The 25,031-nt window shown below is 56.1% G+C and overlaps 1 protein-coding gene across 45 annotated transcripts in view, besides 4 other annotated features; it reads right to left on the bottom strand.

Annotated features, from left to right (window-relative positions):
- Positions 5,083 to 5,377: a silencer, noted in NCBI's record as "tiled region #5026; K562 Repressive DNase matched - State 8:EnhW". NCBI's record gives its function as "represses a minimal TATA promoter and a strong SV40 promoter by Sharpr-MPRA in K562 cells {active_cell/tissue: K562}" and the evidence as "EXISTENCE:reporter gene assay evidence [ECO:0000049][PMID:27701403]".
- Positions 5,114 to 5,163: a silencer, noted in NCBI's record as "silent region_19627". NCBI's record gives its function as "represses an Ori minimal core promoter by ATAC-STARR-seq in GM12878 lymphoblastoid cells {active_cell/tissue: GM12878}" and the evidence as "EXISTENCE:reporter gene assay evidence [ECO:0000049][PMID:35858748]".
- Positions 5,420 to 5,990: an enhancer, noted in NCBI's record as "H3K4me1 hESC enhancer chr8:144977006-144977576 (GRCh37/hg19 assembly coordinates)". NCBI's record gives its function as "activates a minimal SCP1, AML or CMV promoter by ChIP-STARR-seq in primed H9 embryonic stem cells {active_cell/tissue: H9 hESC(primed)}" and the evidence as "EXISTENCE:reporter gene assay evidence [ECO:0000049][PMID:30033119]".
- Positions 17,735 to 25,031, bottom strand: part of PLEC (plectin) — a 61,593-nt gene continuing 54,296 nt past the window's right edge. For all 45 annotated transcript variants that reach the window (XM_047421872.1, NM_001410941.1, NM_000445.5 and 42 more), the window contains one exon: positions 17,735 to 24,977. In XM_047421872.1, coding sequence (XP_047277828.1) covers positions 18,759 to 24,977 — 6,219 coding nt within the window. In that variant the 3' untranslated portion in view covers positions 17,735 to 18,758. The remainder of the gene's footprint in view (positions 24,978 to 25,031) is intronic.
- Positions 18,694 to 18,889: a silencer, noted in NCBI's record as "fragment chr8:144990280-144990475 (GRCh37/hg19 assembly coordinates)". NCBI's record gives its function as "represses an EF-1alpha promoter that drives an FKBP-Casp9 reporter gene in an ReSE screen in K562 erythroleukemia cells {active_cell/tissue: K562}" and the evidence as "EXISTENCE:reporter gene assay evidence [ECO:0000049][PMID:32094911]".

Here is a 25,031-nt window from a genome sequence, read left to right on the forward strand (position 1 = left end):
GAGACCAGCCTCTACTAAAAATACAAAAAATTAGCTGGGGTGGCCGGGTGAGGTGGCTCACACTTTTTTTTTTTTTTTTTTTTTTGAGACGGAGTCTCGCTCTGTTGCCCAGGCTGGAGTGCAGTGGTGCAATCTCAACTCACTGCAAGCTCCGCCTCCCGGGTTCACGCCATTCTCCTGCCTCAGCCTCCCGAGTAGCTGGGACTACAGGCGCCCGCCACCACGCCTGGCTAATTTTTTTTGTATTTTTAGTTTCACTGCGTTAGCCAGGATGGTCGTGATCTCCTGACCTCGTGATCCGTCCGTCTCAGCCTCCCAAAGTGCTGGGATTACAGGCGTGGTGGTTCACACTTATAATCCCAACACTTTGGGAGGCCGAGGCAGGTGGATCACCTGAGGTCAGGAGTTAGAAACCAGCTTGGCCAACATGGTGAAACCCCATCTCTACCAAAAATACAAAAAAAATTTGCTGGGTGTGGTGGTGGGTGCCTGTAATCCCAGCTACTTGGGAGACTGAGGCAGGAGAATCACTTGAACCTGGGAGGCGGAGGTTGCAGTGAGCCAAGATCGTGCCACTGCACTCCAGCCAGGGCCACAGAGTGAGACTCTATCTCAAAAAAAAAAAAAAAAAAAGTCTGTTTTCTTCTAAGAGTTTACTAGTTTTAGCTCTTATCTTTAGGTATTTGATCCATTTTGAGTTAAGTTTTGTATGTGGTATATGAGAAAGGTGTCCGGCTTCATTCTTTGCATGTAGAATCCATTTGTCCAGCACCATTTGTTTATTTTATTTTTATTATTATTATTATTTTGAGACAGGGTCTTACTCTGTTGCCCAGGCTGGGGTGCAGTGGCCTGATTTCGGCTCACTGCAACCTCCGTCTCCTGGGTTCAAGCAATTCTCCTGCCTCAGCCTCCTGAGTAGCTGGGATTACAGGTGTGCGCCACCACACCCGGCTAATTTTTGTATTTTTAGTAGAGACGGGGTTTCACCATGTTGGCCAGGCCGGTCTTGAACTCCCAGCCTCAGGTGATCCACCCACCTCGGCCTCCCAAAGTGCTGGGATTACAGGCGTTAGCCACTGCGCCCGGCTACTTTAGCTCTTCAAATATTGTTTCCCTTAGCTCTTTGAACATATCTTCAATAATAGCTAATTTTAAGTCTTCATCTAGTAAGTCCAATGCCTGGGCTTCCTCAGGGGCTGTTTATGTTGATTCAATCTTCTTCAGTGTATGAGCATACTTTCTTGTTTCTTTGCATGTCTTATAACTTTTTGCTGAAAAGCAGACATTTAAAACAATATGGAGGCTGGGCATGGTGGCTCATGCCTGTAGTCCCAGCACTTTGGTAGGCCAAAGTGGGCAAATCACCTGAGGTCAGGATGGCCAACACGGTGAAACCCCGTCTCTATTAAAAATACAAAAATTAGCCGGGTGTGGTGGTGGGCGCCTGAAGTTCCAGCTATTCCGGAGGCTGAGGCAGGAGAATCGCTTGAACCTGGGAAGGAGAGGTTGAAGTGAGTTGAGATCACGCCATTGCACTCTAGCCTGGGCGACAGAGCAAGACTCTGTCTAAAAAATATATATAAATGTAAAATTAAAAAAAAATATATACATATACTTTATATATATAATAGGATATAGGCCTGCGTGCAGTGGCTCACATCTGTAATCCCAGCACTTTGGGAGGTCAAGGCAGGAAGATCGCTTGAGCCCAGAAGTTCAAGACCAGCTTGGGCAACAGAGCAAGACCCCATCTCTACAAAAAATATGAAAAATTAGCCAGGCATGGCGGTGCATACCTGTCGTCCCAGCTACTCAGGAGGCTGAGATGCATGGATCACCTGATCCTGGGGAGGTCAAGGACACAGTGAGCTGAGATCTTGCCACTGCACTCCAGCCTGAGCAACAGAGCGAGACTCTGTCTCAACAAAACCAATCGTAAAAATAATAAAACAACATAATGCGACAACTTTAGAAATTAGATTCTCTCCTCCCCTCCAGGATTTGTTGTTGTCCTGCTTGCGGTAGTCCGACACACCTTCCCTTGTCAACGCCCTGCACGTGCGGCCACAGTGACCTACGTATTTCACGAGCTATATTTCCACCCCTTCTCTTGGACACAAATTCACTGATTCGAAACCTGCTTCCCAGTTATCTTGGAGACAGTTTTGCCAAGTGTTTTGCATAATGCTGGTCTCTGCCCTTCTGATAAGTGCTTTGCGGTCAGGCCACTAGTCAGTGTCCCGTGGGGTTTGCAGTAGCAGCATCCCCCTCCCTGGCCTCAAAGTCCATCCACTGCGATAGGTTTGCTTATGTCACGTTCACAAGCCACCCCAGCGTCTCCAGCTTAAAGCCACAGCTTGTTCTCACTCGCACTGCATGGCAGGGGTTGGCTGAGTTTCTCTCTTCCGTCTTTGCTTCAGGACCCAGGCTGATGGAATGACTGCTGCCTAGAACATTGCAGGTCTTCCCAGATGAGACACAGAGGCTCTGGAGGGTCGTGCAATAGTAAGTAAATGCTCTGGCGTAAAGGTGCCATGTAAATACCTCCTCTCATTCCTCATTGGCCAATACTGGTCACATGGCACCACCTCATGACTCCCCGCCACGGTTCCCCTCCCGGCCATGATGGGACCAGGCAGTCCGGCCCCTCCCACCCACCCGAAGATGAAGCAGAGTTGGGGAGCACTGCTAGGGACCACCACTCCCCTCATTCCAAATCATCACCTTTATTCCCTCTGCCATAATTTTATTTATTGGGTAGGATAATTTACCCTCTAAGTAACACATCGTAATATTTAGTATAGATGATCGCTTTCCACAGACATGATTTGGCAGCTTGTTATTAAATTTTGCTATGATTTCTGCCAAATGAATGATATTTGCCTTATCCCACGTGTGCGGTTGTTTGAATGGTCTTCTGGATCCTAGATACTGCCTCACCGGAAGCTGAGCCTGGTACACGCAGAGCCCACAGGACACCCACAAGAGTCACATACCTGCCATTGACCACCTCTGGGCTTTTAATACCGAAACTTCAAAGAACTTATGTGTCTCTCATTACACTTGCTAGCAATATTTATACAGGAACATGTTGTATTTATATCCCCAAAAATCAGTAAGAGAATTTTAACAAAACCATGTATGGGAAAAGTCTTAAGTCACATTTCAGAAACAATGTGTAGTGGTTGTAATAACATGGGGGCATTTTGCAAAGTTTGAGAACCAACAAAGAGGCGTGCGCACAGCCAGGGTGGGGCTGGGGCTCCTGCAGAGAGATTTGCTCCACCCTGCGTTCAGGACGCCACCTGCACGAAATGTTAAGTTCACCTGCGTGTCGTGTGTGTTACTGGCATACACGCTTCCCTGGTTTATAGTAACATTGTAATTTTTCTCATTTTTTAAAAGTAATCCCAGCACTTTGGGAGGCCGAGGCGGGCGGATCACGAGGTCAGGAGATCGAGACCATCCTGGCTAACACGGTGAAACCCCGTCTCTCCTAAAAATACAAAAAATTACCCGGGCGTGGTGGCGGGCGCCTGTAGTCCCAGCTGCTCGGGAGGCTGAGGCAGGAGAATGGCGTGAACCTGGGAGGCAGAGCTTGCAGTGAGCGGAGATCGTGAGCTCACTGAGTGAGCGAGACTCCGTCTCAAAAAAAAAAAAAAAAAAATTTTGTGTTTTTTGAGACAGGGTCTCCATCTGTTGCCCAGGCTGGAATACAGTGGTATGATCACAACTCACTGCCATGAGTCTGGGAGCCTCGACCTCCAGAGCTCAAGCAATCCTCCCGTCTCAGCCTCCCAAATAGCTGGGACCATAGCAGTGTGCCACCATGCCTGGCTAATTTTTGTATTTTCTGTAGAGATGGGGGTCTCACTATGTTGCCCTGGCTAGTCTCGAACTCCTGGGCTCAAGTGATACTCCCACCTTGACCTCCCAAAGTGCTTGGATTAAGGCGTGAGCTACCACACCTGGCCATTTTTCTCATTTAAAATAGATTATTGGCCGGGCATGGTGGCTCATGCCTGTAATCCGAGCACTTTGGGAGGCTGAGGCGGGTGGATCACTTGAGGTCAGGAGTTTGAGACCAGCCTGGCCAATATGGTGAAATCCCATCTCTACTAAAATACAAAAATTAGCCGGATGTGGTGGTGGTCACTTGTAATCCCAGCTACTGGGGAGGCTGAGGCAGGAGAATGGCTTGAACCCAGGAGGCAGAGGTTGCAGTGAGCTGAGATCGCACCACTGCACTCCAGCCTGGGCAATGAAGTGAGGTTCCATCTCAAAATAATAATAATAATAAAATAAAATAGATTCTCAACTGAAGGTTCTTGGTATTAAGTGGAGACATTAAGTGGAGGGCGTGTGTGTGAGTGCCAGTGGCACCCGCGGACGCTTTTTTCAAATGACGTGTATTCATGGCATGGACTGCCATTTTTCACATTTTCTGTTGACTTTCATTGGTTGGTGCTGCAAATGAGCAGGTCACGCTAAGGCTGTGGGTAATCGCCGCCATCCTCACTCCTCAGCTGATCCTTCCCATGCCCAGAGAGGCTGAAATAAAAATGAAATTTATAATCCTGGCAGGGCGCGGTGGCTCACGCCCGTAATCCCAACACTTTGGGAGGCCGAAGCGGGTGGATCACGAGGTCAGGAGATCGAGACCATCCTGGCCAACATGGTGAAACCCCGTCTCTACTAAAAATACAAAAACAAAATTAGCCGGGCGTGGTGGCAGGCGTGTGTAGTCCCAACTACTCGGGAGGCTGAGGCAGGAGAATGGCATGAACCCGGGAGGTGGAGGTTGCAGTGAGCCGAGATCGTGCCCCTGCACTCCAGCCTGGTGACAGAGCGAGAACTGTCTCAACAACAACAACAAAAAAGAAGAAATTTATAATCCTTTGAGTATTATATATTATAAAGTAACCAGGATCTAGTTGTTTCGTTTTGTTTTGTTTTTTACCAATTGGAATAATTCACGTTTAATGTTTCCAAACCCTTCTGCCTGCAACCGCCGTCCTGGGGATGAGAAATCTCTGGGGAGGAGGAGTTTGGGGGCCAGCATCTTGTGTCGGGGCATGGGTTGTTGAGATGACGCTAGCACCCCCCATCCCCCGCCCCTGCCTACTGGGCTGGTTTCCCCTCCAGGGGGTGAGGTGGCGCCTCCCAGATGGGACACAGCCTGCTGTCCCCACTTTAGTCAGAAAGCAGGAGTGAGACAGGTGGCCGGGACGAGACGCTGGGGCTGGTAGGCGCTTTGCTGCCATCTGCTGGGGAGCCCGCAGCAGCCGCCGCCGTGGACCTTGTGCTGGTGGAAAGCACAAAACCACTGTCCACGTGAAGGCCGCCCATGTCCTGGCAGCGCCCCTGAGGGGTGGCCTCCTGCAACCACCCACCTGCAACCACCCACCTGCAACCACCCAGGGGGCTGCAAAGCCACTCTGCTCGTGCTGGCCTGGCCTCTGAACCTATCACAACATAAGACAGAAGAGGACTGAATGGGGTGCGGCCCAGCGTACGCTGCTCAGCCTGGTCTTCGTGAATGGGCTCCATCCAGCCTCTGTCCTCAGAGACGGCAGGTGGTGCCTCATCTTCCTGGCAGACCTGGAGGGAGTGTGGGTAGAGTGGGACCCAGCCAGGAGTCCAGGCCCTGAAGCCAAGGGCAGGCCCATGTCTCCACCACCCCACAGTCTAGCATCCTCAGACCAGGCCCAAGAGAAGCCCCACTCCTGAGCAGGGGGAGGGAAGGGGAGGCCGGGGACTCAGGCAGCTGCCCCCTAGAGTGGGAAGGAAGGGCCCCAGCGTTTCCCAGCTCTAGCCCCACTTAGCTTTTGGTCCCTTTGCTGTGGTCCCCAGGGGTGTGGCTTCCTCGGGGGGCTGAAGCCAGCAGTCCCTCAGCAAACACGCACAGGGCTCCAGGGTGGGGGATAAGACTCTGCCCCCAAAAGGCTCTGAAATGTGTCAGGATGTGACATGGTGGAACTGACCAGGTTTCCAGCAGGTCTGCGGGGCTGAGGCTTGCATCCCCTGGGAGGCTGACATGCGCTGTCTGGCACGGAAGGTGGATATCCCCTCAGCTATGCCTTCTTTGTTCACTGGCTGGAATACTTCCGCGATGACAAACCTCCCTCTCATGCTGTTTGGTTACCCAGCGGCCCATCTGCATAGGAAAGACAGAATAAGAGCTTGATTCTTTTCTTTTATTTATCAATTTTAAAAATGTAAGCTTGTTGCCGGGATCTCCTAAGGACGATCAGTTAATTTTTTTTTTTAACTCAGGGATTTAAGCGGGTGAGTTGAGTAAGCTGAAGGTGTCCCATCTTCCGAACGCGTTTCTAGGACGGCAAAGCCTCCTGTTCCGAGACGGGTAGAGCAGGAAGCCACTTCCCACAGATCACAGCTGCCCCATCCCTTCAGGGCGTCCTGCCTTGCCTCGAACTCCTGGGCTCAAGTGGTCCATTCCCTTTCCTTAGAGTGTGGGATGAATGCCTCCAGGAGAGAGGTTCCTCCTCCGGGTCAGCAGCTGCAGCTACCTAAGCATTCTCTTCCTCACCCAGCAGGGCCCGCAGCCCAGGGTTATGGCGAGACTCCAGTTCAGGGTGGCGGCTGCCAGGGAGCTGTGGGTTGGTCGGCTGGAACCAGCTGAGGCCTCAGAACCAAGAAGCCCTTCCATGCCAGGCCCAGGGAGGAGGAGCCTGTTGACAGCGTTGTCCCTGGGACCTGGTGGGCAAACAGGCCGGGGGCGAGAGCTTGGGACCCAGAGACCCGGGTCCTGCCTGCATATGATCCAGTAGGGAGGGCAAGCTGGTCTGCCCCCGAGGCCCAGCCACCGTGCTGGGCTGTCCTGAGAGGCCCTGGAGGACAGGTGCGATGCTCGGTGGGCTGTCTCCACAATATACAAACATCAGTTGTATTTCATGCTAGCAGTAGGCAATCCAAACATGAGACTAAGCAAACAGCTCCACACACAATAGCACTGCAAATAATAAAATACTCAGGAATAAACGTAGCCAAAGAAAGTCAAGACTTGTATATTTAAGACTAGAAAACATTACTGAAGGAAATGAAGAGGACATGATTGAACGGAAAGTCATCTCAGCATCACTCCCCAAGCTGACCTGCAAATTCAGTGCAATCCCCATCACAATTCCACTGTCTCCTGCCTGGGGGCTGCCCCTCCCCATATCAGCCCTCTGCCCAGGACACAAGACTGCTGGGTGGCCTTGTGTGTGTGTTGGGGTGGGAGGGCTCCACTCCTGTCTGTGGCGTGCAGCCCTGCTCAATGCATTCCCAGCACTGAAGAACGGCCTCTCCCAGGGCCCAGCAGTTGGGGCAGCCTTCCTCCTGAGGTAGGAGGCAGGACTCAACTCCGGAGGTGGGGTTTGGACACTGGACCAAAGTGAGGATTAGCTAAAACAAGTGTCTTACAGGGAGGTGGAAGCACCTCCCTGTAAGACACGCCCACCAGTGTGCCATGTCATTTTACCATTCCGTGGTAACACCCAGAAGTTACTGCCCCTTTCCATGGCAACAACCAGACAAGCCAGAAGTTGCCACCCTCATCCTGGAAATTTCTGCATAAACCGCCCCTTAATTTGCATGTAAGTAAAAGTGGGCAGGCTGGATGCCCTGGTTCATCCCTGTATTCCCAGCACTTTGTGAGTCCGAGGTAGGAGGATCACCTCGGCCCAGGAGTTCAAGGCTGCGGTGAGCCCTGATGGCGCCACCAGACTCCAGCTTGGGTGACAGAGCAAGACCCTGTCTCAAAAAAAAAAAAATTTGGGGTATAAATTTGACTTCAGCCCTGCCTCAGCTGCGACTCTGGGTGCACTGCCTGTCGGGTGGTCCCTGTTCTCAAGGAGCAGCCCCTTTGCTGCAGGTCTGGTTGGCCACTTAGTAACAGTTGCTGTCTAGGCTGGGTGCAGGGGCTCACTCCTGGAATCCCAGCACTTTGGGAGGCCAATGTGGGCGGATTGCTTGAGCCCAGGAGTTCAAGACCCGCCTGGGCAACATGGCAAAACCCCGTCTTTACAACAAAAAAATACAAAAATTAGCTGGGTGTGGTGGCACACGTCTGTAGTCCCAGCTACTCGGGAGACTGAGACAGGAGGATTGCTTGAGCCCAGGAGGTCAAGGCTGCAATGAGCTATGATGGCACCACTGTGCTCCAGCCTGGGCGACAGAGAAAGATCCTGTCTCAAAAAATTAAAAGTTGCTGTCTAACACACCGGCTCGTCCTTGAATTCTTTCCCAGGCTCAGCCTCAATTTTGGGGCTCACCTGTCTGGCATCGCTGCTGCTTCTGGAATGTTCAGGAGCCCACATGTTTCCTGATTGGGGTCAGCCATTTTGATGATGAAATTTGTAATATTAAGTTGTTTCGTTGGGACTTTTCAGAACCAGGTGAATACACAGCAGATAAAACACCTTGGAGGCTGGGCGTGGTGGCTCGCACCTGTAATCCCAGCACTTTGGGAGGCTGAGGCGGGTGGATCACCTGAGGTTGGGAGTTCGAGACCAGCCTGACCAACATGGTGAAACCCTGTCTCTACTAAAAATACAAAATTAGCCGGGTGTGGTGGCTCATGCCTGTATTCCCAGCTACTGGGGAGGCTGAGGCAGGAGAATCGCTTGAACCCGGGAGGCGGAAGTGAAACTCTGTCTCAAAACACACACACACACACACACACACACACACACCTTGGAAATGGAGAAACCTGTTCTACCGTAACGGGAAGCAGCAGCCCTCTACCAGGATCTGCCTGAGGTAGCAAGTGCCGGCAGGTCCAGCGACCTGCAGGGCCACCCTCCTTCCCGCTGCCACCCCCCGCCCATGCCGCGGTGAATGGCTTCTTTGTTAGCATTCCTCAGCCACCCTGTTTCCTGTTGGGACTCCACGGACAGACACACTGCGTCTCCATTCTTTGAATAGTTGCTCTTACATTTTCAACATGGATATTTGACAAAGTCCAGAGTCCCAATCAAAATCTCTACCCTCTTCCTGAAAAATACAAAGGCAGTAAAAGTTTTTTTTTTTTTTGAGACTGAGTTTCAGTCTTATTGCCCAGGCTGGAGTGCAATGGCGTGATCTCAGCTCACTGCAACCTCTGCCTCCTGAGTTTAAGCGATTCTCCTGCCTCAGCCTCCCGAGTAGCTGGGACTACAGGCGTGCACCACCACGCCCAGCTAACTTTGTATTTTAGTACAGATGGGGTTTCGTCATGTTGGCCTGGTTGGTCTTGAACTCCTGACCTCAGGAGCCCCAAAGTGCTGGGATTACAGGCGTGAGCCACGGTGCCCAGCCTGCATCTGCTAAACTCTTTTCCAGGTGGTTGAAGCACTGGTATTTCCATCAGCTCAGTGTGAGAGCTCTGGTTGCTGTACCTCCCATCAACATTTGACATGTTTAGTCTTTTTAAATTTTCAGGCATTCTAGTGGGTGCATGATGGTGTCTCACTGTAATTTTAATTTCTATCTTCCTAATGACTAATGTTCTTGCATCTTTTTATGTGCTGTTCGCCATCCATATATCTTCACTGGTGAAAGGTCTGTTGAAATCTTTTGTCTATTTCTAAATTGGATTATTTCTGTTTATTGAGTGCTGGGGGTTCTTTGTATATTCTGGATACAAGTCCTTTATCAGTTATGTGATTTACAAGTATTATTCCCAGTCTGTGGCTTGTCTTTTTATTTTCTTAACAGTGTATTTTAAAGGGCATAAGTTCCTAATTTTGATGAAGTCCAATTTATCGATCTCTTTCTTCTATAGATCATAATTTTAGTGTTATATTTCAGAAATATAACTCAAAAATGACAAAGATTTTTCTCTTACATTTTCCTTTAGATGGTTTATCATTTTAGATTCCAGTTGTGATCCATTTTGGGATAATTTTTGCACATGGTGTGAGATTAATTTTTTGCATATAGATGGTGAAAAGATCATTATTTTTTCACTGAAGTTCTTCTGTACCTTTACTTAAAATCAAATGACAATAGATGCATGGGTCTATTTCTGGACTCGGTTGATCTATATTTCTGTGTTAATATCAATACCTCGCTGTCTTGATTACAATAGACTTGCAACAGCCCTTCAAGTCAGATGGTGGACGTCCCCTCAATTCACTTTTCTTTTTCAAGGTTGTTTCAGCTGCTCTTGGTCCTTTGCATTTCCATATTAATTTTAGAATCAGTTTGTCAATTTCCACACACAAAAAAACCTACTGGAATTCTGATTGGGTAGCACTGACCTGTAGTTCAAGTTGGAGAGCATATCTCAGCAATATCGAGTCTTCCAGTACATGAACAAGGTCTGTCTCTACATGGACTTAGGAGTTTAATTTCTCTCATCAATGTTTGGCAGTGTTCAGTGTTCAGGTCTTGCACATCTTATCAGAATTATTCATATTTCACATTTTTGATGCTATTTTAAGTAATGTTTTAAATTTCACTTTATAATTGTCCATTATTAGAACATAGACGTACAGCTGATTTTTATATCTTGATCTTGTTTCCCACAGTCTGGCTAAACTCAATAGTTCTAGTTGTTTTTCTGTAGATTCTATCAGATTTTCTACATGGGTAATCATGTCAATGGCAAATAAAGACAGTTTTACTTCTTCCTTTTCAATATGGATGCCATTTGTTTGTTTATTATTTATCTATCTTTTCTTTTTGCCACTGGCTAGAAGCTTCAATACAATGTTGCCCTTTTTCCTGATCTTAAGGGAAAGCATTTGGTTTTTCATCATTAAATATGATGTTAGCTGTAGATTTTTCATAGATGCCCTTTATCCGGTTGAGGAGGTTCTCTCTTCTTCAATTTCTTGGAAGCGTTTTTACAGAATTGTTATTGTTTTTCCTTAAATGGGACATTGAGTTTGCAGTAAGCCATGATGGTCCACGGCAGTCCAGCCTGGATGACAGACGGAGACCCTATCTCTTAAAAAAAAATGCAGGTTCGGGCCGGGTGCGGTGGCTCAGGCCTGTAATCCCAGCACTTTGGGAGGCTAAGGCGGGCGGATCATGAGGTCAGGAGTTCCAGACCAGCCTGGCCAACATGGTGAAACCCCATCTCTACTAAAATTACAAAAATAAGTCGGGCATGGTGGTGGGCACCTGCAATCCCAGCTACTCGGCAGGCTGAGGCACAAGAATTGCTTGAACCCGGGACGGGGAGGTTGCAGTGAGCCGAGATTGTGCCACGGCACTCCAGCCTGGATAACAGAGCGAGATTCATCTCAAAAAAAAAAAAAAAATGCAGGTTCTGATCAGCGGGTTTTCCATGAAAGGTTCACTTATGCAAAGCAACCCTCACATGAGGACGGAGCTGAGAAACCAAAGAATGAGGCTGACAGATTCGGTTTGTCAGGAGAGGGTGCTCTACTGGGGAACCTGCCACCAGGGGTGGCCTTGGGTGGGACAGGTGCAGCTCTGCACTGTTGCTCCCCAGACCCAGGGCTCAGCTTCTCTGTAGGGAAAGGCTCTGCATGCTCCACACAGGCAAGAACGCAACATCGCCTGTCATCTGTGTAATAACATCAAGGCTGCTCTGATGGAAAGGCAGGATTCATAGCGAGTGCACGTTCTTACACTAAGGACAGTAGATACGGCAGGAATCGGGGCATTCCCAGGACGGCGGCTCATCAGAAGTCTGCACGGTGGAGTAGAACCTAACACGGAGTCACTTCTGTCTCCACAGTGGGTCTGCGCTGGGTCTCGAGAGTCTTCATTTCAGAAGTTCAAGGGTGAAGCGCTCGCTCCTAGTTCACGGAACACACATTAAGAGGCTTCCGCTTTTGCTAATGGGTTGTGTCCATTATCCTTTCGTAGGGAATCTGTCTTTTCTCTCTAGCTGCTTTAATTTTTTTTTCTTTTTTGGTTTTCGGTTTTCCGCAATTTTACTACAATGTGTTTTGATGTAGATGTTTTATTTGCCATACCTGGGTTTTACTGTGCCTGTTGGATAAATGGTTCATGTTTTTCATCTATTTGGAAAACAATTATCAGCCACTATTTCTTCAAAACGTCCTCACCTTATTCCAGGATCTTCTTATAGAACCCCAGCTGGACTGATGCTAGATGTCTTCTGTTCTGCCTCCTAACCTCTCTTTCCTGTTTCCCATCTCTGGGATAAATTCTGAGTAATTTCTTTAGATCTATCCTTTAATTCACCAATTCTTCAACTATGATTCGTCTGCTGTTTAGTCCATTGAGCTTTAAATATTATTAGTATATGTTTCATTTCTAGAAATTCTATCAAATTTCTTTAAAATCTTCTTGCTCTTTTTAGCTAGAATTTTACTTCTCACATTATGGATTTGTTGTGTTATAAACATTTCAAACATACTCACTGTGTATTCTTTATTGAATAATTCCAGTATCCTGCGTCCCTCAGCTTCCAGTTCTGCCCTTGTTCATGATGCTCGTTTCCATGCGTCTTGTAACTTTTGACTGCGTCATGTTGGAAAGCCCGAGGTCTTTTATCTGAAGCCTGGGAAGCCTTGGTTGGGGGCAAGACCTCCAGATAAGATTATATTGGCTCATACCAGGTACCAGGCAACAACCAACCTGGGGCCATGGTGATGTAATTCCTCCACATGGGGTTCTCCAGACCCTACAGGGGGATGGCCTGAAATTGTAAAGCTCAGTGGAAACGCTTTCCTGTCAGAGCCCAGGCAGGATCCAGTGTTTCCCTTCTGTGGCTGGATCGTCGGAGAACCCGCTTTCTCGCTGGGTGCAGCCCTTTGAGGATCCGGATGCCACAGAGGCCTCTGGCTGTACGGCCCGCATCCCGGCCTCCTGTTCCTGAGGACCTTTAAAACCCGAGGCTTCAGCCTTCCAGGATCAGCAAATTCCTCGGGAAGCGTCAGCTCAGCCGCTGCACTGAGGACCCTCCTTTCTCTTTCACCCCTGGTGGTTTCCTTGTCTTTTTGGTAACGTCAGAATGCACCCGAGAAGCTATTTAAGTTTTACCCGGATTTACGTGGGAGGAGTTTTCAAGGGTCTCTCGGTCCGTCTGCGCTGCTACTGAGGAGCTGCCACCGTGAAGGCAGCTGCCGTGGCCGATCCTCCAAGATCCCCTTGGGTGTCCTTGTTCCCCTCCCCAGCTGCTGCAGACGCTCACCTGTGTCCTCCTCCAGAACACTGCCCTTGGCTGACAAGAGCTGCTCATTCAGAGATGCCTGAGGACCACGTGCCACCCCACAGGCAGCTCAGACCCACGTGTGGGCAGGAGTCAGAGCCTCTGAGCTGTGCCCTTGCCTCTCAGATGTCCGTGGGGCAGGGCTACGGCTCCAGCCCCCTTTGCCAGCTCCTTGCCCTCCCCACTTGTTGCACCCCTTTTCTGAGAATTCTCCAGAAACCATGTGTAACTGAGGCACCGCCCTGGGGAGCCTGCCTGGGATGGGGGGGCGCAGACGTGGTCCTGGCGCACAGATGCCACAGTTGGTCAGAACACCACCGACTGCCTGGCGATGCTGTCAGCCTGGCACCAATGGCAGTGCAGCCGCTGGAGCTCCCACCTGTTGAGACGTGCTGGCAGCGGGAGGGAAGGTGGGGGCAGCGGCCAGAAGACCCTGACCATGGGGGCCCATGAAGCTGGCTCATGGAGCGCCACAGTCTGACAGGAGACGCAGATGGGCAGCCTGCAAGGAGCTGCTCACTACACTGGTTCTCACACTCAGGCACATGGCAGCCCCTGGAGGGCTCCTTAAAGCACAGCTGGCTGAGCCCCAGGCCCAGGATTTCTGACTCAGTTGGTCTGTGCCGCGGCCAAGGCTCTGCCCCTTCCAAGCTCCCAGGTGGTCCCGGGGCACACTCGGAGGACACTGGCTCAGCACGCGGCACCCACAAATTTTAAAACGAGTGAGTGAGTCCAGGCCCACTGCTCTGATGGAAAACACAACCACTTGCTTTGTTTCCTTATGTCAGCCAGTTCTCAGAGCCAGAGCCCACAAATGGAAAGAGCGGCCAGGTCCCCTTGTGAAAGGCCTCACGCCTCCAAGTGTGGACAGCAGTGACCCCCCAGTCCCTCCAGGGACCCAAAGATGCTTATCTGGACAACTGTGCCCTGGGGAGAGGAAGACGCCCAGATCAGGGTCTGAGTGGACGCTGACACCTGGGGCGCAAAGCACCCTCAGAGGCTCCCATCTGGGTAGGGAATATGGGGTCAGGAAGGACCTGGAGTCCTGGCCCAGGCCTCAGCCCATCATTTCCCAGCCCAGGAACGTGCAATTGGAACTGGCATGCTCAACAGCAAATCCTCACATGGGCTTTTTGGCCCATGGAGTAAAAATCACTGTAGTAGGAAAGACCAAATGGAAACCTTAGAAACTACCCCCAGCTCCAGCCAAGGAAATAAAACAATACAACCTCCTGGTCAAAACGGCGGCGTCAGCAACACCGCAGATGCCTAAAGGGTGCATGGGTGATGGCCACCATCTTCCCACTTAATTTGCTGGTCAGGTCCCTACAAGAGCTGGGTAGACTGTGGTGGACGGCGGCTGAGCCACAGCGTCTCCCCACAGTGCCAACTCCAGCTGCTGTGCTGTCTGTGGTCTTTCCTGGAGCAGACTCACAGCCTCAGACGGTGTCCTGTGGCTCCTGGCTGGGCAGAGGGCTCTCCACTGCACCGGGAGGAGGTCAGGGGCAGTTCCCATTCACACGAGGTGGACAGCAGCGCACAGACATGCAGACACACAGACAACTGACCAAAGCGCAAACACGCAAGTCCGCTCACTGACAGCATCGCACCCACCAGGCCTGGCAAGCGGGAAGTGGCAGGCGTTCTGAGCGTCCTGCTAGGACACAGGCACTCCAGGGCAGGAGAGAGGCTGAGCCAAGATTCAGGGACTGGTCACGTCATGAAGGTTTTAGGAGTCCAGAGATCTGGGCATGTTAGGACGTCCTGTCCAAGGTCAAGAACGAGTTTTGAGCCTTGCATTTCCTAACACCAGGAAAGAAGCTGGCAGATGGCAGGCCTCTGGGTTCTGGACACAGCACGATGATGCCAGACACGGCACGATACCAGACACGGCAGGATGATGCCAGACCCAGCACGATGCCAGGCACGGCACGATACCAGACCCAGCACGATACCAGGCCCGGCACGATACCAGACACGGCAGGATGATGCCAGCCCCAGCACGATACCAGACCCGGCACGATACCACACACAGATCTTTTTATCAGTTGGCACAGAGGCTTCTCGTTTTGAGTGGGGCCCAGGAAAAGGAAGGGTAGCACAGCTGGTGAGGCTGTGGAACAAAGTCCTGCCACTCAGGCCCTGTGAGCTAACAGAGCTCTTGTACCAGGAGCACCTGCCGCAGGTGGGGAAGGATGCGTCAAGGGGTCTCCGGCAAGGCCCAAAAGAGCTGCAGCACCAGCCCTAAGTTTTGAAGCAAGGAGGTCCCGACTGCAACAGAGAACTGCGGACTGTTCAGAGAAGTTCCTGGGGATGGTGTGGCCACAGCTCCCACCAGGAGCCAGTGCCACAAGACCCACCCAGGCTAAGGTCAGCGGCACAGTGAGGATCCAGGGTAAGGGGCGGTGCACTGCCGGGCACCAGCCATGAGAGCCAGAGGGCTGCACGGGCAGGTGGCGCAGCTTCCAGCTTGCCCGCCAGTCAGGCCACAGCCTCAGAGGGTCCCTGTGACTGGGTGGGGGCCAAGCCCGGCCTGCTTCATGGCGGTTGGGTTCATGGTAGTCGGACCACTCCACTTGGGCTGGCCCTGGAGTCAGGGGTCGGGGCGATCCCTGGCCTCTCATGAGGAGAGGAGAGCAGCTCATGGTAAGGACACACGTGGACAGGGCTGGGGAAGGGCTCGGCTGGCCGGTCAGGGCCTGAGAAGGGCAACGCTGGAAGACGGACTGGGGAATGGAACTGCCGGGTGGACACCAGCGTGGGGACTTGTGGGTGTTCACCAGGGGCACCGGCTGCCGAGCGGGCACCCAGCCACCCACAAGCCAATGACGCGGCCAGTGACGCAGCGTCCGGTGCTCCCACACGGCTCCCGCCTGGAGCGATGGAGGACCAGACGAAGCCAGGCGCCCCATGACAAGCCCAGCTCCTGTCGGCAGCAGCACATCCCGTCCTCTGGCCATAAAGACCACCAGGGGCCCTGGACGCAAAACCAGCCAGAGACCAACCGGTCACTTGGAGGTAAACTCAGCCCTGGAGGCCCCTTCCCCTTGGAAAGACAACAGCTGGTATTCCAGGCACGGACCCACCTTTCCAGCCCACGATGCCTCCGTGTCTGCCCTGGGAGACGGGCTCCTGTGTAACGGCCCCCAGGGCCTCTGACTGCTTCCGGCAAGGGGGTGCAGAGGGAGCGGGAACACGGGCGCCGCAGAGCCTAGAGCGTCGGCGAGCTTCTCGGAAAGAGTTGGTGCCACCGTCCTGACACCAACCCTCTGGGACTGTGGTGGTCCCGTCCTCCAGGATGTGGTCTTCGGCCTAAATCAGTGGCCCCACAGAGGACCGCATGGGTCTGGGGACCAAGGGGTAGAGGCAGGAGTGGCCGCCCACTCACCAGCTCCCAGTGACCCACTGACAACCTGTGCTTCCTTTCCCTGCAACTCTTAAGCTGTGAGGGCTCAGAGGTCCTAAAACCCAGCCACCTGGGACAGAGTAAGGCACTGCCCCGCTCGATGGCTGTGGGTCACCCGGCCGGGGCCACTCCTGTTCCAGCGGACCAGCAGGCAGAGCACCCTCTACCGGGCCGGGGCAGGGAGGGTAAAGCCCAGCAAGAGCGAGAAGACTAGGACTTGGACCCCAGGGTGAACGCCTGGGTCCCACCAGCAGGAGAGGCGAAGGCCAGGCACAGTGGCTCACGCCTGTAATCCCAGAACTTTGGGAGGCCAAGGCAGGGAGGATCACTTGAGGCCAGGAGTTCGAGACCGGCCTGGCCAACACGGTGAAACCCCATCTCTACTAAAAATATGAAAATTAGCTGGGTGCACACCTGTAGTCCCAGCTACTCGGGAGGCTGAGGCAGTAGAATCATTTGAACATGGGAGGTGGAGACTGCAGTGAGCCGAGATCATGACACTGCACTCCAGCCTGGGTGACAAAGCAAGACTCTGCCTGAAAAAAAAAAAAAAAAAAAAAAGAGTATCGGCTGAGCCTGGACCAGTGGCTACTGCAGGCTGGGGTGGCCCCGCTTCCCTCCTCCCCTAAGTCTTCCCAGAAACTGCCACCAGTCGGAAGCCTGGAGAAGCCCATCCAGATGGAATCCCCGGAGTGTGATGGGCATGGGGCCGAGACATGGCAGACTGTGGTGGAGGCCCTCATACTAGGCCCACTGCCTGTGGCCCCTTCTCTGGAGGGCTGCCCGGCCAGCAGCAACCAACTGACCCGGGGCCATGTGGCACCCTCCCCGGAGGCCAAGGGGCCACAGCCAGTGACTGATATGGGAGCATACCACACCCCGCCTCAGATAAGGAAACGTGAGCCCCTTATAGTGCGAAGGGTGGGGCTGGGAGACTGGTCAGCACCTGACCAGCAGCAGGTCCCAGGGGGCCCGGCCTCAGTGTGGCCACCACCCTGCCCCACACTGAATCCCTCTGCCCAGGGTCTCTCAGCTGCCCTCCTGCGAGCACCTGGTCTCTGCTGCACACAGACGTACGTCCCTGACTGGCCATAGTGGCTGAGCTCAGAGCCTGGAGCCTGGGGCTGCAATGTCCACCCTGTCCCTGACACACACCTGACCCCAAGACACAAGGCCGGAGGCACGGGAAGGTTGGAATTGCTTTTATTGGGGGCGGATACCGCAAGGCCCCGCCCACGGTCAGGTTAGTGTTCTGCCCTTGCAGAGGCGCCAGCAGCCTGACACCTCCACCTGCCACCCGCCCGGGGTTAGTGGAACATGCAAAGCTCAGAGGGTGGAGGCAGGGGTGGTCGCTGCTGAGACCAGGGCTGGGTGCAACAGGAGGGTCAGCACAGAGCCTGGCTGGTGTCCCTGGGCCCAAAGGGGGCTGGGGCTCCATGGGAGAGAGACGGGCAGGCGGCACCCCAGTGTGGGGCTCCACAAGCTGGAGGGGCCCCTGGACCCACCAGGAGGACAGGTCTGCAGTTCCCAGCCATGCCGGCTGGAACGTCCGCCTCCCCACTGGGTCTGGGTCCTCGGGGCCTGGGGTTAGAGGCCGACATGGAAGGCACTTACTAGGGGAACAGAGGCTGGAGGCTGACGCCGGAGGCCAGGGGTCTCAGGAGTGAGTGTGGGGGGTGAGCTGGAAAGCACAGATCAGACAGCACTGTGGGGGCTGGGCCCGAGGGCCTCGTCTTCCCATGGGGAAGGGGCTTCTCTGGGTAGACTGGGAGAGAGGCTGACTGGGGCCCCCCGTCCCCAGCAAGGCCCACCGTGCAGGCCAGTGCTAGAAACACCAGGGCCCTCTACAGACAGGGTTGGGCCCAGCTGCCCTGTGCAGCTAGGACTGGCAGGCGGGCTACCCTGGGAAGACAGGAGGGTGGGCTGGGGCCCAGCTTGGGACCCTCCAAGGCACCTGGCTGTGTGAGTGGCAGGTAGAAGGGAGTGAGGAGACCCGAGGGGGTGAGGCGGCCAGCAGGGCTGGGCCAGCCCTGTCCCCCAAGATACAGGCTGTCTGGACAGCAGATATATATTAATATATTAGTCTGGTCTTTTTGGTTAAACTTTAGGCACCACTTGGGAGGAAGACACCTTTAAGCGTTGAAAACGGCCCCCGCGCCTCGGTGGGAGCCGGGCTGGGCCGCATGCAGAGCGGGGTGGGCGCAGGCAGCCTCAGGCCACGGCAGACTCAGGGCCCCCCAGGGAGGCCGAGGACCCCGAGGCGTAGCGGCGGCCGTAGCCCGAGGAGGAGTAGGAGGATGAAGAGAAGGTCATGGAGAAGCCGGAGCCGGTGGCGTCAAAGCTGCCGCGGCGGGAGCCGGCCCGGGAGCCGGTGCGCGAGCCGGTGCGGGAGCCAGCGGTAGAGCCGGAGCCGCTGACGCTGTAGGGGCTGTAGTAGCCCTTGGTGGACTGCGCGGCAGCCTCCAGCAGCCGCAGCCCCGTGCCCTCCTCCACCATGCTGCGGTCCAGCGCGTCCTTATAGGAGATCTTGAGCTTGGTCTTAGGGCAGGTGAGGTACTTGGAGTAGGCGCCCACGTCACGCAGCTTCTGTGCGGTGCGGGCGTCCACCGTGCCGCGCTGCAGGGCCTCGTCCAGGGGCACGCGGCCCGGCGTGTCGGGCTCGATCAAGCCGCCGGTCAGGTACTGCACCTCCAGGAAGCGCTGGCCGGCCTCGTAGTAGAGCCAGCCCTTCTTCAGGGCCTGGGCGGCCGACATCTTGGTCTTGGTGCGTGGGTCCTCGAAGCCGCAGAAGGCCTTCTGGGCCAGGTTGATGCGGTCCACCATGATCTTGTCCACCAGGCCCTTGTTGACGGCGTCGGTGACAGGGAAGCGCTCACCGGTGCTGGGGTCGATGATGCCCCCGGTGCAGGCCTGCGCCTCCAGCAGCCGCTGCCCCGTGATGTTATCCACCAGGTTCCGGTGCATGGCCTCGGTGATGGACACCTTCTCCAGCGTCTCCGTGTCCAGGATGCCAGCCACGGGGCCCGTCTCCTCAGTGGGGTCTGACCAGGAGGCCAGCTGGGTCCTGGAGACGGCGGGGCTGATGGGGTAGGAGGAGGAGGATCCCACCGAGGAGGAACGGGAGCGGAAACCACCGGCGTTGCCCGAGAGCATGTCGGCGAACTCGGTGATGGAGAGCGTGCCGGCGCGGTACTGGTCCAGTGCCGAGCGGTCGATGAGGTTCTTGGCGATGGCATCATCGATGTCGTACTGGCGCCCGGAGCGGCGGTCGATGATCATGGACTTGACCACGCCGTCCGAGGAGGAGATGGTGATCTCCTCCCACTCGCACTCCTGCTCGGACAGCTCCAGGTACGTCTGGTGGTCAATCAGGCCCTTGCGGTAGGCCTCGTACACTGACATCTCCTTGCCCGTCTCGGGGTCCACGATGACCACTCGGCGCTTGCGCACGGAGGACTTGGAGGACGTCTTCCGCTCCCGCTTCTTCTCCTTCAGCGGCAAGAGACACAGGCCCGTCTGGGGGTCAGTGATACAACGCTCCATCAGCTGCAGGTAGGTGAGGTTCTCCTCCGTGTTAGGGTCAAAGAAGCCCTTGGTGTCGTCCGAGGGGTCGGTCAGGATCTCGTTCATCTCCTCATCGAAGAGGCCGCGCTTGTAGGCCACCTCCACGGGCAGCCGGTGGCTCTCCTCAGGGTCGATGATGCCGCCCGTGGCGATCTGGGCCTCCAGCAGGCGGATGCCATGGTCCTTCAGGATCAGGCCCTTCTTCATGGCCTGGAAGAGGGAGATGAGCTTCCCAGAGTAGGGGTCCTTGTACCCAGTGACGGCGCGCTCGGCCGACAGCAGCTTGTCCTTGAACTCGGGGCCCACAATGCCCATACGCACAGCCTCCTCCACCGTCAGCTTCAGTCCCTTGATGGGGTCGATGACGTAACCGGTGGCCGCCTGCGCCTCCAGGAGCTCAAAGGCTGTGCCGGGGCGGATGATGCCCTTCTTCATGGCCTGGTACACCGAGAGCCGTTCCTTGGTGGCGTCCACGAAGACACCAGCGATGCAGCTGGTGCCTTCCAGGAACTTCTGCAAGTTCTTGGTGACCTCCTCGATGGAGGTCAGGCCCTCCCGCAGCTGCAGCGCCGTGGCCTCGTCCATGACCTGCGAGCGCACCAGCTCCTCCATGGTGATCTGCTTCCGCAGGCCACGGAAGGTCAGCTTGCGGGCGTCCGACAGTGGCAGGAGCAGCTGGCCGGTGCCGTCGTCACGACGGCACCGCCTGAGCAGCTGCGTGTAGCTGAGGCGCTCGTCGGTGGACGGGTCCACGTAGCTGCGCACCTCGCTGGGCTCTGACAGCTGGTCGTGCGTGTCCTTGTTGAGGTAGCCACGCTGGTAAGCCACCTCCAGGGGAAGGTGGAAGCCCAGGCGGGGGTCCACGATGCCGCCGGTGGCCAGCTGGGCATCCAGCAGCCGCAGGGCCTCCTCAGTAGGGATCAGCTCCTTCTTCATGGCCTGGAAGAGCGAGATGGTCTGCTCGGTGTAGGGGTCACGGTAGCCGGTGACCGCCCGCTCAGCCGAGAGCAGGCGGTCGTGCAGCTCGGGCCCCACGAGGCCCTTCCGCACAGCCTCATCCACAGTCAGCCGCTCCCCCTTCACCGGGTCCAGCAGGAAGCCTGTGGCTGCCTGTGCCTCCAGCAGCAGGCGGGCCACCTCGGCACTCAGCAGCCCTTTCTTGAGAGCCTGGTAGATGCTCAGTGTCTGCCTGGAACCGGGCAGGTAGACACCAGCCACGGAGCCCGTGCCATAGAGGTAGCACCAGGCGGACTCCGCCTCGAGAGCCTCACGGAGGCTCCTGGTGCCCTCCCGGAGCAGGTTGTAGGTCTCGAGAGAGATGATCCGAGCCTCGAACAGGTCCTCAGCCGTGAGGCGGCGGCGCACGTAGTCGTAGGAGGCCAGACCCTGCTGGCGGATGATCTCTGTCTTCTCAATGATCTCGATGATGATGATGATCATGCGTTCCTTGGTCACCCGGCCGGCCTGGAAGTCAGCCATCAGCTGGGCCCGCTGCTCCTCGGGGATCAGGTCCGACTGCATCACCTCCCACAGGGACATGGTGGAGCCGCCGTGGCTGCCGCCGCCGGGAATGTCGATCTGTGTCTCTTCAAATGCCCTTCTTGTCTCCTCCTCAGTGTACACCTGCGTGGTCTCCACCACCTCAGCCTTCTCCGCCCCTTTCAGTGGCAGAAGGCGCAAGCCCGTCTCGGGGTCCTCCACGCACCGCTCCAGCAGCTGCCTGTACGTGAGGTTCTCATGCGTGTTGGGGTCAAAGAAGCCCTTGGTGTCGTCGCTGGGGTCCGCCAGGACGCGGTTCATCTCCTCACTGAAGTAGCCGCGCTGGTAGGCCACGTCCACAGGCACGCGGTGGCTGTGCACGGGGTCGATGATGCCGCCCGTGGCGATCTGGGCCTCCAGCAGGCGGATGCCGTGCTGCCGGAGAACCAGGCCCTTCTGCATGGCCTGGAAGAGGGAGATGGTGCTGCCCGAGTAGGGGTCTCTGTAGCCGGTGACGGCCTTCTCGGCAGACAGCAGCTGCTCGTGAAGCTCGGGGCCCACCACGCCCGCCTTCACGGCCTCGTGGACATACAGGCGCTGGTTCCGCACGGGGTCCACCAGGAAGCCAGTGGCCGCCTGCGCCTCCAGCAGGAGCGCAGCCGTTGTGGCTCTCAGCAGGCCCCGGCGCATGGCCTCGTAGATGGACACCTTCTCCTTGGTGTCCTCCAGGTAGATGCCGGCGAGGCAGCCACTGCCCTGCAGCAGCGTCCGCACGGAGCCCAGCTCCGAAAGGTCCTTGACCGTCGTCTTGCCGTCCTTGAGCTGCTCAAACTGGGCTCTGCTGAGGACCCCGGAAGCCAGGAGCTCGCTGGCTGGCACAGGGGCACGGAGGCCGCTGAAGGACAGCCTCTCCTGCCGCAGGGTCTCCACCTCCTCCACGATGGTAATGAGAATCTTGATGACCTTCTCCACGGTGACCTTGCCCGTGCGGAACTGACGCAACAGCTCCTGCCGCTGCTCCGCAGTGAAGTACTCAGAGCTGATGAGCTCCCACACCGTCACCGTCCTGCCCTTGAAGCCACCCACGGGGACCTCAACCGGGGTCTTTTCAAAGGTCTCACGGGCCTGCAGCTCTGAGTAGAGCTCCTCCTGCCGGGCCCGAGCAGCCTTTTCTGAGAGCGGCAGCAGGCTCAGCCCGGTCAGCTGGTCGGGCCGGCACCGCTGCTGGAGCTCGCCGTAGGTGGCCGGCTCCCCTGTGCTGGGGTCACTGTAGGCCTTGGCGTCGGCCCTTGGTGCCGACAGGGCCCTGCTGGTCTCCTCATCCAGGCAGCCTCGGGCGCAGGCGACATCCAGGGGCACGCGGTGGCTCTTGCTGGGGTCCACGATGCCGCCCGTGGACAGCTGGGCGTCCAACAGGCGCAGGCCCTGCTCCCGGGGAATGAGGCCCTTCTTCAGGGCCTGGAACAGGGAGACGCTCTGCCCTGTGTAGGGGTCCCTGTACCCTGTCACAGCCTTCTCGGCTGATAGCAGCTTCTCATGAAACTCGGGGCCCACCAGGCCAGCACGCACTGCCTCGTCCACGGTCAGCCGGGCGCTGGTGGCGGGGTCGATGATGTGCCCGGTGCCGGCCTGGGCTTCCAACAGGGCCACGGCCATGTCGGATGGCAGCAGGTCTTTCTTCAGGGCATTGTAGATACTCAGCTTCTGCCCCGCCTCCTCCAGCCATACACCCGCGATGACGTTGGCACCCCGGAGAGCCCGCCGCACAGTGTCCACCTCGGCTACGTCTCGCACAGAGCGCTCACCTCGCTGCAGCTGCTGGTAGAGCTCGCGGTCGATGACCCTGCTCTCCAGCAGCTCGGCGGCTGGCACCAGGCTGCGCAGGCCCTCAAAGCAAAGCCGGCCCTTCTGCTCCTGCTCCTCCACCACCGTGATGATGATCTTGATGATCTTCTCCACTGTGATCCGGCCCGTGCGGAACTGCCGCAGCAGGTCCCGCCGCTGCTCTGCCGTGAAGTATTCCGAGTTGATGATCTCCCAAATGGTCACCGTCTTGCCCTGGAACTTGCCGAACGGCGCAGACACGGTGGCCTTCTCAAAGACGTCCCGGGCCTCGGAGTCAGTGTAGACCAGCTCCCCGCCCTTGGCAGCCTTATCCGTGAGTGGCAGAAGGCACAGGCCCGTCTCGGGGTCCTCCACGCAGCGCTCCAGTAGCTGCAGGTACGTGAGGTTCTCGTGCGTGTTGGGGTCAAAGAAGCCCTTGGTGTCGTCGCTGGGGTCCGCCAGGACGCGGTTCATCTCCTCGTCGAAGTAGCCGCGCCGGTAGGCCACGTCCACGGGCACGCGGTGGCTGTGCACGGGGTCGATAACGCCGCCCGTGGCGATCTGGGCCTCCAGCAGGCGGATGCCGTGCTCCCGGACGATGAGGCCCTTCTGCATGGCTTGGAAGAGAGAGATCTGCTGGCCAGTGTAGGGGTCCTTGTAGCCAGTGACGGCGCGCTCGGCCGACAGCAGCTTGTGGTGCAGCTCGGGGCCCACCACACCCTCCTTCACAGCCTCGTTGACGGTCAGCCGCCGGTTCCGCACAGGGTCCAGCAGGAAGCCTGAGGCCGCCTGCGCCTCCAGCAGGATGAGGGCCGTGCCGGGACTCAGCAGCTGCCTCTGCAGGGCGGCGTAAACACTCAGCTTCTCATTGGTGGCCTTCAGCAACAGCCCTGCGATACTGCTGCGGCCCTGCAGGTAGTGGCGCACGTCTTCCCGCCGTGCGAGCTCGTCCACCGTGGTGTGGCCCTGCGCCAACCGCTGCAGCTCCTCCGCACTCAGGATGCCGGCCTCCTGCAGCCTCTGAGCTGACACCTTCCGCCGCAGGCCATCGAAGCTGTGCTCCGGCTCTGCCTCTGCCGCGGGGCCATCAAGTGCATCCCGGCCATTGGGCAGGGTCTTTGTGGCAGCCACCTGCGAGGCAGTGACCTCCTCTGAGTGCGCCAGCGCGGCCCGGTGCTGCTCCTCCAGGAGCTGCAGCTGCTCACGCAGCCTCTGGTTCTCCTCAGCCAGCAGCTCCTCCTGCTGCCGCCGCTGCTGCTCCAGCTGCTGCAGCTCCTCCTGCTTGCGCCGCACGCCCTCCTCGGCCTCATGCTGCCGCCGCCGCGCCTCCTCCATGCTGGCCACCAGCCGCTGCCGTTCCTGCTCCATCTGCTGCTGCTGCCGCTGCTGCTCCTCACGCAGCTGCTGTGCCTTGGCCACCTCGTCCTGGAAGAGCTGCTCCAGCTTGGCCTTCTCCTGCTCGATGAAGCGCTCCCGCTGTAGCAGGCTGTCCTTTTCAGAGAGGAAGCTTTGCTGCAGGGCCTGCGTCTCCTGCAGCAGCTGCTCCTGCTGCACCGTCTGCATCTGCAGAAGAAGAGGGTGTGATCAGGGACCGCCAGCCCAGGAGCACCCATCACC

Source organism: Homo sapiens, chromosome 8 (genome assembly GCF_000001405.40).
Source record: "Homo sapiens chromosome 8, GRCh38.p14 Primary Assembly".
Taxonomy (NCBI): domain Eukaryota; kingdom Metazoa; phylum Chordata; class Mammalia; order Primates; family Hominidae; genus Homo; species Homo sapiens.